Source organism: Homo sapiens, chromosome 5 (genome assembly GCF_000001405.40).
Source record: "Homo sapiens chromosome 5, GRCh38.p14 Primary Assembly".
In the NCBI taxonomy this organism is placed as follows: domain Eukaryota; kingdom Metazoa; phylum Chordata; class Mammalia; order Primates; family Hominidae; genus Homo; species Homo sapiens.
Window position 1 is genome coordinate 24,311,424 of NC_000005.10, and position 11,487 is coordinate 24,322,910.

The 11,487-nt window shown below is 41.1% G+C and overlaps 1 long non-coding RNA gene across 2 annotated transcripts in view; it reads left to right on the forward strand.

The window, feature by feature from the left end:
* LOC105374689 (uncharacterized) overlaps window positions 1-11,042 on the forward strand; it is a 30,724-nt gene extending 19,682 nt beyond the window's left edge. For both annotated transcript variants that reach the window (XR_925859.3, XR_925858.3), the window contains exon 3: window positions 9,196-11,042. This is a non-coding gene — a long non-coding RNA (uncharacterized LOC105374689). The remainder of the gene's footprint in view (window positions 1-9,195) is intronic.
* The last annotated feature ends 445 nt before the right edge of the window (window positions 11,043-11,487 follow it).

Sequence of the window (11,487 nt, forward strand, 5' to 3'; positions counted from 1 at the left end):
TGTTGATTGATGGTAGTAGTTTTTGCCTTTTGATTTCCTTTTCTACATTCCTTTCTACTGTGTCCAAATTGCCCACAATTAAAGCAAGAGCCTAAGAAATGGGGCATATTCTTTCCTACTCTTAATCCAGCCATAGCCTGATCTGAAAAAGCCTTATGTAAGTTACCTCCAATGCCATCTCAAGCCTTAATATATTCAGCTAAATAAGCCTTCCCTCTCAGTGGTCTAAGAGCAGTTTGACATTCTGCATTAGCATTATCATATGCAAGAAGCTGTATTACAACATCCTGAGCTGTCTTATCAGTTATGACTTTATACACAGCCTCTTGGAGCACAGCAATAAAATCAATATATGGTTCTTTAGGTCCTTGTTGGACAGAACTGAAAGAAGGATATTTCTCACCCGTAACATTTATCCTTTCCCATGCCTGTAAGCACACAAAGTGCAGCTGAACAATGGCAACATCCTCCATTACTGCTTGATTCTCTAATCGACCCCAATTATGGCCAACTCCCATTAACTGTTCAAAGGAAATAGGCACAGGTGGCTGTGCTTGTGTGTTTTCCTTTGTCTGAGATTGAGTTTCATCAGACCACCAGGTTTTAAACTGCAAGTACTGAGATGTAGTGAGAACAGATTTTGTCAAAGTATCCCAATCATATGGTATTAATCTATTATCAAGAACCATATTTTTTAATAAAGTTTGCACAAAAGGAGAGTTCGGTCCGTATTGACTAATGACTTGTTAAATTCCTTTAGTAACTCAAAAGGGAAAACGGCCCCATTAGCTATATTCTGTCCTCTCTGCTGGATTATAGTAATGGGAAATTGCCATGCTTCAAGGTTTCCCTTAGCTCTAGCTTTTGAAATAAAATTTTGGGTAGCACCACCAATTGCTCCAGGTTTTAATGTTGCAACCACAGGAGCAGTAAGTTTTTCAGCTAATTTGTCTTCTCACCCATTAAGAGGAGAGAGAGGAGGTGACCATTCACTTAATTCAGCAGGTGGAGCCGACAGGCTAGTAAAACATACTTTTTTTTTAGTTTTCCTTTCTTTTCTTTAATCTCCTCCAGTAGCTGTCCCTCACACTCAGAATCTGAAGTTAGTTTTTCACACTCATCCTCTTCCTCATCTGAATCTGCCTCATCATCTGTTTGAAATGGCTCAACTGCTGCCTTTATTAGCTCCCACTTTGACAAAACAGAAACTGGAATTTCTGCTCCCTTTTTCTACACCTTTTTAAAATCTCTTCCAATTCTCTCCCATTGATACAACTCCATAGTTCCTTGTTCAGGAAACCATGGACAAAACTGCTTTACTGTACTAAAGAGTGATAACAAATTCTGAGTACTAACTTTCACTCTCCCTCTTCATAGTAAATGCCTTAAGAAATTTAAGTAAGTAGAGTGTCTGCTTTCATTTTGTCCCATTGTTACCCTGGTTCTTCCGAGTGCTCAGCTTTCCCACCGAGCTTCTTTTAGACATCCTCTGGTGTCCTTTGACTATGCGTCCTCCGCTTTCACATGCTCTAGCATTCCTTCACCAGGGTCTTTGTCACCCCATGTTGGGCAGCCAGCAATGTTGGAGTGATCACACCCAACAACAGGTCATGGGGGCGACGAAGTCTGGTGGAGTCAAAGGAATGAGAAAAAGACAGTTTGAGAGACAAAGTGGGACCAGGGGCCCATCGCAAGTGTGGAGGCTGCAAAGGCCCCAAGCTCTGGGAGCCCATGCTATTTATTGGTGCTCAAACAAATAGGTAGTGAGGATGCGGGGATTGAGAGGAAACAGTGTACCAACTGAATGAGAAACATATGGTTGCTTGAGATAACGGGAGTGCTAGAAGCAAAGAGCCAGTAAGTCTAGCAGACATGCAAGCCCTGCCTCAGCTTCTCTCCCACAACTCAGCTTTCCTCCCAACAGTATTCTCTGATGGTAGTTTGTATTTCTGTGGGATCAGTGGTGATCTCCCCTTTATCAATTTTTATTGTGTCTATTTGATTTTTCTCTCTTTTCTTCTTTATTAGTCTGGCTAGTGGTCTCTCTATTTTGTTAATGTTTTCCAAAAACCAGCTCCTCGATTCATTGGTTTTTTGAAGGTTTTTTTGTCTCTCTATCTCCTTCAGTTCTTCTCTGATTTTAGTTATTTCTCGTCTTCTGCTAGCTTTTGAATTTGTTTGCTCTTGCTTCTCTAGTTCTTTTAATTGTGATGTTAGGGTGTCTATTTTAGATCTTTCCCTCTTTCTCCTTTGGGCACTTAGTGCTATAAATTTTCCTCTAAACACTGCTTTGGCTGTGTCCCAGATATTCTGGTATGTTTTGTCTTCATTCTCATTGGTTTAAAGAACTTCTTTATTTCTGCCTTAATTTCATTATTTTCCCAGCAGTCATTCAGGAGCAGGTTGTTCAGTTTCCATGTAGTTGTGCAGTTTTGAGTGAGTTTCTTAATTCTGAGTTCTAATTTGATTGCACTGTGGTCTGAGAGACTGTTACAATTTCCATTGTTTTGCATTTGCTGAGGAGTGTTTTACTTCCAATTATGTGGTCAATTTTAGAGTAAGTGCTATGTGGTGCTGAGAAGAATGTATATTCTGTTGATTTGGGGTGGAGAATTCTGTAGATGTCTATTAAGTCTGCTTGTTCCAGAGCTGAGTTCAACTCCTGAATATCCTTGTTAATTTTCTGTCTCATCAATCTGTCTAATACTGACAGTGACAGGTGACAACGTGCTAGCAGCCCTCACTTGCTCTCGGCGCCTCCTCGGCCTCGGCATCTACTCTGGCCACACTCGAGGAGCCCTTCAGCCAGCAGCTGTGCTAGGAGGGCCCCTCTCTGGGGCTGTCTGAGGCTGGAGCCGGCTCCTTCTAGTTGCTGGGAAGTGTGAAGAGAGAGGCGCGGGTGGCAGCCGGGGCTGCGTGCAGCACTCGCGAGCCAGCGCATGTTCCAGGTGAGCGCAGGCTCAGTAAGCCCTGCACTGTGCACAGCCTGCCGGAGCCTGCTGGGCTTGATCAGAGGCTGAATCCCATGCGGGGACTGCCTTTCCCTCTTCGCAGGATCATTGGCCATGATGGTGGGTCTCCGTCTCTTTCTTGCTTCCCCTCTTTTCCTCTTGGTTGTCTGGGATGAGCTCCCTCTGGGCTGCCAGAGTGCCTGGGCTAGGTGCTGCAAAGTCCCACGGCGAGTGCCAATGAGAAGTGAAGCCTGCTGGGCTTCTGGGATGGGTGGGGACTTGGAGAACTTTTCTGTTTAGCTAAAGGATTGTAAACACACCAATTAGCATTCTGTTTCTAGCTAAAGGTTTGTAAACACACCAATCAGCCCTCTGTGTCTAGTTAAAGGTTTGTAAATGCACCAATCAGCGCTCTGTGTCTAGCTAATCTGGTGGGGACTTGGAGAACTTTTGTGTCTAGCTAAAGGATTCTAAACACACCAATCAGCACTCTGTGTCTAGCTAAAGGTTAGTAAATGCACCAATCAGCTCTCTGTAAAATGGACCAATCAGCTCCTGTAAAATGGACCAATCAGCAGGATGTGGGTGGGTCCAGGTAAGGGAATAAAAGCAGCCACCTGAGCCAGCAGTGGCAACCCACTCGGGTCTCCTTCCACGCTGTGGAAGCTTTGTTCTTTCACTCTTTGCAATAAATCTTGCTGCTGCTCACTCTTTGGGTCTGTGCCGCCTCTATGAGCTGTAACACTCACCGTGAAGGTCTGCAGCTTCACTCCTGAAGCCAGTGAGACCACGAACCAACCAGGTGGGATGAACAACTCCAGACAGGAGGAACAAACAACTCCAGAAGCGCCACCTTTATGAACTATAACACTCACCACGAAGGTCTGCAGCTTCACTCCTGAGGCCAGGGAGACCACAAACCCACCAGGAGAAATGAGAAACTCCAGAAACACTACCTTTAAGAGCTGTAACACTCACCGTTACGGTCTGCAGCTTCACTCCTGAAGTCAGCAAGACCGTGAACCCACCAGTAGGAAGAAACTCTGGATACGTCTGAACATCAGAAGGAAAAAACTCCGGACACACCATCTTTAAGAGCTGTAACACTAACTGCCAGGGTCTGCGGCTTCATTCTTGAAGTCAGTGAGACCAAGAACCCACCAATTCCAGACACAACAGTGGGGTGTTAAAGTCTCTGCCTATTATTGTGTGGGAGTCTATGTCTCTTTGTAGGTCTCTAAGAACTTTCTTCATGAATCTGGGTGCTCTGGTATTGGGTGCATATATATTTATGATAGTTAGCTCGTCTTGTTGCATTGATCTCTTTACCATTATGTAATGCCCTTCTTTGTCTTTTTTATCTTTGTTGTTTAAAGTCTATTTCATCAGAGACTAGGAATGCAACCTCTTTTCTTTTTTTTTTTTTTTGGTTTCCATTTGCTTGGTAAATATTCCTTTATCCCTTTATTTTGAGCCTATGTGTGTCTTTGCACATGAGATGGGTCTCCTGAATACAACACACTGAGGTTCTTGACTCTTTATACAGTTGGCCAGTCTGTGCCTTTTAATTGGGGCATTTAGCCCATTTACATTTAAGGTTAAAATTGTGATGTGTGAATTTGATCCTGTCATTACGAGATGCTAGCTGGTTATTTGCCCATTAGTTGATGCAGTTTCTTCACAGTGTTGATGGTCTTTACATTTTGGTTTGTTTTTGCAGTGGCCAGTATTGGTTTTTCCTTTTCATATTTAGCGCTACCTTCAGGAGCTCTTGTAAGACAGCCCTAGTGGTGACAAAATCCCTCAGTATTTGCTTGTCTGTAAAGGATTTCATTTCTCCTTCACAAATGAAGCTTAGTTTGGCTGGATGTGAAATTCTGGGTTGAAAATTATTTTCTTTAAGAATGTACAATATTGGCCCCCACTCTCCTCTGGCTTGTAGGGTTTCTGCAGAGAGATCCACTGTTAGCCTGATGGGCTTCCCTTTGTGGGTAACCCAACCTTTCTATCTGGCTGCCCTTAACAATTTTTTCTTCATTTCAACCTTGGTGAATCTGATGATTATGTGTCTTGAGGTTGTTCTTCTCAAGGAGTATCTTTGTGGTGTTCTCCGTATTTCCTGAATTTGAATTTGGGCCTGTCTTGCTAGGTTGGGGAAATCTCCTGGATAATATACTGAAGTGTGTTTTCCAACTTGGTTCCATTCTCCCTGTCACTTTCAGGTACACCAATCAAGTGTAGGCTTGATCTTTTCACATAGTCCCATATTTCTTGGAGAATTTATTCATTCCTTTTCATTCTTTTTTCTCTAATCTGGTCTTCACGCATTATTTCATTAAGTTGATCTTCAATCTCTGATATCCTTTCTTCTGCTTAATTTATTCAGCTATTGATATTTGCATATGCTTCATGAAGTTCTCATGCTGTGTTTTTCAGCTCCATCGGGACATTTATGGTCTTCTCTAAACTGGTTATTCTAGTTAGCAATTCCTCTAACTTTTTATCAAGGTTCTTAGCTTCCTTGCATTGGGTTAGAACATGCTCCTTTGGCTCGGAGGAATTTGTTATTACCCACCTTCTGAAGCCTACTTCTCTCAATTCATCAAACTCATTCTCCATCCAGTTTTCTTGCTGGCAAGGAATTGTGATCCTCTGGAGAAGTAGAGGCATTCTGGCCTTTGTAATTTTCAGCCTTTTTGCACTGTTTTTTTTCTCATCTTCATGGATTTATCTATCTTTGGCCTTTGCTGTTGGTGAACTTCGGATGGAGTTTTTGTGTGGTCATCATTTTTGTTGTTGTTGCTGCTATTGTTTTCTGTTTTTTAGTTTTCCTTCTAACAGTCAGGCCCCTCTGCTGCAGGTCTGCTGGAGTTTGCTGGGAGCCCACTCCAGACCTTGTTTGCCTGGGTATCACCTGCGGCAGCTGAAGAACAGCAAAGATTGCTGTCTCTCCTTCCTCTGGAAGCTTTGTCCCAGAGGGGCACCTGCCAGGTGCCAACCAGAACTCTCCTGTGGGAGGTGTCTCTCAATTCTTGCTGGGAGGTGTCTCCCCATCAGAAGGCATGGGGGTCAAGGACCCACTTGAGGAGGCAGTCTGTCCTTTAGCAGAGCTCGAGCACTGTGCTTGGAGATCCTCTGCTTTCTTCGGAGCTGGCAGTTGGGAACATTTAAGTCTGCTGAAACTGCACCCACAGCTGCCCCTTCCCCCAAGTGCTCTATCCCAGGGAGATGGCAGTTTTATCTACAAGCCCCTGACTGGGACTGCTGCCTTTCTCTCAGAGATGCCCTGCCCAGAGAGGAGGAATCTTGAGAGGCAGTCTGGCTACAGCACCTTTACGGTGCTGCAGTGGGCTCCATTCAGTTTGAACTCCCTGGCAGCTTTGTTTACACTGTGAGGGGAAAACCGCCTACTCAAGCCTCAGTAATGGTGGACCCCCCCTCCCCCCACCAAGCTCAAGCATCCCAGGTCGACTTCAGACTGCTGTGCTGGCAGTGAGAGTTTCAAGCCAGTGGATCTTAGCTTACTGGGCTCTGTGAGTATAGGATTCGCTGAGCAAGACCTCTTCACTCCCTAGCTTCAGCCCCCTTTCCAGGGGAGTGAATGGTTCTGTCTCACTGGCATTCCAGGTGCCACTGGGGTACAAAAAAAAAACTCCTTCAGCTAGTTCTGTGTCTGCTCTAACTGCCACCCAGTTTTGTGCTTGAAAGCCAGGTTCCTTGTGGTGTAGATACCTGAGGGAATCTCCTGGTCTGTGGATTGTGAAGACCATGGGAAAAGCATAGTATGTGGGCCAGATAGCACTGTCCCTCATGGCTTCCCTTGGTTAGGGGAGAGAGTTCCCCTACCCCTTGTGCTTCCCGGGCAAGGCGACACCTCACCATGTTTTTGCTCACCCTCTGTTGGCTGCACCCACTTTCTAACCATTCCCAGTGGGATTAACTGGGTACCTCAGTTGGAAATACAGAAATCACCTGCCTTCTGTGTTGGTCTTTCTGCGAGCTGCAGTCCGGAGCTGTTCCTATTCACCCATCTTGCCCAAGCTTCCCCAAATTTTATTTTTTTAGGATGAACTTGGATTGGGTTTTTGGTATATGAATACCTGTGTATCCATTACATGAGTTGATTACTCATCAGCATAAGTTTGTGGTTTTAAAAAATCATGTTCCCTGTATTGCTATCTAGCTATTAGCTATAGCCTTTACACACATGCCAATGTTTAAATACTCTGTATCAAAACAAGCAGAAATATCAATAATTGAGAAAATATATGCATAGTTCAGAATCCTAAATATTATTTTGGCTGCCTCATTTTTCATTGTCTGAAGGACAAATGGGAAATTAACCAAAAGCAAAAAAAAAAAAAAAAAAAAACCAGAAAATGGGATAAATATGTTGCTTCCGTTAAAAGTTTATGTGACCTTAACACTTCTAATAATGATATAGTTTGGTACTCAGATCAGCATATTAAAATCTAAATTAGGAGAAATCAGATGTTTGAATGGTAGATAATGAAACAAACTGTAAAAGGCTTTTGTACAAAATGCTTTGAAAGAGACGCTGTTTTCTGATGGCAGAGGACTGACCTAATTAAGATGCCTATATATTTCCAGTCTGAATTCTCTAAATGATTTCATGTGATGGCAGTTAGGCAAATATAAAGACCATGGGGTGATTGATCTTATAACCTCAGCTTCATTAGCTGAATACGTTTAATGAACTGAGTTAGCAGGGTCCTAGGAATGGCTGGGACACTTGTAATCATTACTCATCAGTCCACATATAGACATTTCACCATGATAAAAGTAAAAGGTACTTCAGTGATTATGTCCTTGAGTACAAAAGTGTAGCTCATCTCTGCCTCTTTCACTGTACTTTTAGATATGTATATGAAACTTCACCAATATCCTCTGGTCTTTATTCAGTGGATTCTTATCTCATTTTTTCATAAATCACAAATAGGTAGCCTTCACTGACCCATATAATGGATTATGAACATTAAAGCAGAGTTTTAAAAATCAGTTATTTCAGTATTCTTTATTTATATAATAAAATATTATATCAGCTGTGTGGTCCTCATTTTGATATCCAGATATCAAGAAGACTGCTGTTACACTATCATCAAAATAGTGTCAATAACAAATTCAAGGTATTCTCTAGAATGCCCTTATCAGATGTAGTCTCAAAGAGAGGATCAAAATTCCAAATGCCCTGAAACACCCCATATGGTAAATTAGACATAGTAACTGACTGAGAGTAAAATAATATTGGCTATTTAGAAATTTAAATTCCTTTTTGACTGTGGAATGAAAGTCAGTTATATAATATTAATGGGGCATTAGCAAAATATAGGCCTCAGATATCACTAAGTTCAATGGTTCATGACAAGTTATATATAAGTTTTTAATACATTTTAAATTTTAGAATAGTTTTAGTATATGTTAGTGTATAAGTAGGAGTAGGATCTTCTGCTTTCTAGACATAATACTTCTTACTTCCACTGTATAGTAGCAAACCAATTTATCCTTATAAGTTAGGAGCAATCTTCCTAGCAAATACAGTAACTCCCTTTTTTTGCCAGTTAATTCAATGATATACGAACCCCAAAAAGGCCAAGTGAAAGATTCAACTTCTAGCTCAAGGAAGTCATTTTTTCTGTTCCCTGATAGAATATTCTTCCCTTTAGAAAAGAGACCACTACACTGCCGAAGCCTATCATAGTGGAGACAGAAATAACATATTAATTTTCTTAGTAAATTGGAAGGTCTAATACTGAGAGGAGCCACTCTAACACTCAAGAATAGCTAGATATAGTGACTTCCCACTTTGCTAAGTGGAGTTCCCATCATATTAGGTGGGCATACATTTTCACATCACTGTATTCTGTTCCCTTAAATCAGATGAGTTGAGACTTAAGGTTACTGCCACAGGGAAGACAGGCAGTCTCTCTAAAAGACAAAACATAATACATTTTGTCCTTGAAATGACTATACTTGCTGAGCTCTTTATTTGTTTTTACTTGCTAAGGTCAATGTCTCTTTTGCAAACTGCATTATTTGGATAAAGATGAGGAGTGAATATATTTACTTAGGATAACAAAAAAACAGTCATTGCAGGCTGTGAAGGAAATTCATATCCACCCAAGACTGACTTACCATGTTGGCTCTATTCCTCTCCTTCAGCCTTAGGGGTTGAGAGTTAGATTGCTAACCTCTAATCAGTCGTCTTCGACATTATCTTTAACAGTGCCACAGATCTTTCTGAGGAAGTACTACCATATGACTTCACCTTCTCAGGCTGAGGTATCAGCTTGACTGTCACTCCACAGATCAAGACTAGAGGTAAATGTAAACACTATACAGGTGGGATGAGAAACAGCTGTTCAGCTGCCTGGCTAGAAGAACAGGCCCAGTTCTTTGCTACAGGATGGACATGGAAAAGTTCAGGCATTTGAAGTTACTGGCGTCAGCCACATGAGATTGATGACGGGATTGGCTTCTACAAGAGGTCCATGTGGTTCTCATTTCTGAAAACAGATGTTTGGAAACCAATGTTTTCAAAGATAATATGAAACTACACCAATATGCTGCACTATGGAGAAAAACTAACCTTGACAGAAGAAAAAAGATTTTCTTGAGGCAGAAGATGAAGGACTATTGGTCGGGACATTCACAGAAGTCTGTTCTGTAAGTTGGGTTATATGGAAGCAGAGATGCTAGGTCAACCCATGTTGTGCCCTCCCTCTTTTGGTAAGCAAAACACTGATGCTTATGACATCTTCCTTTTCTTTGGTGGTGGCCTTGAAAATTGTTATTCCTTCCAGAAAGGGCTGGATGTCACTCGCTTATGAATTTGAATCCTTCTCTTTTTGCCAAATGATAGAACTGAGCTTGCTCCATGAGCTTCATGTGTGTAAACATTAGTGGGGATCCAAGTGGCTCTGCAGGTAGAATAGACACTCAGGTCCCTCCTGCCCAAGTCCAGGGGCTTGCTTCCATGAATCCAATCCTTTAGTTCATATCAGTTCATGGTGTACCAGAAGCCTCAACACATCTGCAAATTTTTACAGAACATGTTTGTGCAAGGAAATAAATTAGGTCACCAGGCCTTCAAAGGCTCCTTCCACTTAGGGGTGGTGGAGCCCATGAAGCTGAGAATCACCCTTGCCAGCTGTTGGAACTTGAAATAATCCTCCAAAAACCTCTTGCTATTTTAGGAGGGTCATCCTGGTGGGTCTGTGTATGCTGTAAAAGAGTGGCTCACTATTTAACCACCCATCTCTACTGTGCTGATTTAGGGACCACGATCACTTGAGCTTTTCTTGGTGCCTGGGATCTGTCTTTCTGCACAGGGATAATCTAGGCTTATTTGTGGCTTTTTTCCCCTGCATTTCCTTTACTTGCTCACTTTCCTTCTTTTCCTCACTATGTTTCCATTTGAAATCAGTTTTCACATATGCATTTCAGTGCAACTCTACCTTCAGGAACTTACTGGATTACACAGGAAATTCCTTATAGTGTGTGACCATCTGCACTGCAAACAATTTTCAGGGAATTGACTAGCTACTAATACCACTTACAAAAAATCTAATAAGGGGTTTAACATTTTCATAAGGAAAATTAATATTTATATTTTCTGTTTTGGTTGGGTTACATTTTTACTATTTTGAGAAAAAAAGTATTGCATTTTTAAAAAGTGAACAAAAAAAGCTCTCATACAATTGAATGGTATTGCCAAAAGAAATTAAGAAGTCAGAATTTGATGATTCAATATATTATAAATATATTTTTGACCATAGTCCTAAACTATCATCTGTCAAGTTGTATTATTTTGAGTACATAAGTATTTTTCATGTTCTTATTTGTTTTCTATAATGCCTCATAACATATATAGCTCTGTGAGTCTGTTCTTTCAGAAGATCTTATCTCTTGTTAGTTTTCAAGGATTTCCAGGTTCACAGCAGCTGACTTTTTACTACACATTTTATGACTCTAAAACCATTAGAAGAACATCAATGCTTCCCTAAATTGGTTTTTTGGAGAAAATGTAATATGTTTGATGAATTCAAATAAAAAGATGGAAACATAACAGCATATTGGATTACTTGTTAATTTTTCTTTCTCAAATGTTTTATATTGAAAGGAATTGATTTGTGGAGTACATTTTCAAACCAATTTCACCTTCGTTTCTAGAAAAACTACATTTTGTCCTAGAAAGCTATCGACATTTCATCAGAGGAAATAGATTCAGAATTGCTGCCCAGTAAAATCTTTTTTAGCGATAGTTCTCTATCTTTCACCAAAGACAATGCAATTGACCTTGGGTTGGAGGATAAAAAGCTGCCATTATCAAGTGACAGAATAACTGGTTGTCTTCCTCTGCTAGGTTTTTGGCATCACAGAGTTCTCTGAGTCAAGCTTTCACATAGAGAAATAACTAATCCAATAACTATAACAACTTAAATTATACAATTACTTTATCTTTGTCAATTTAAACTGGTGAGTTTATCAAAAACAAAAACGGAACTTCAAACACATT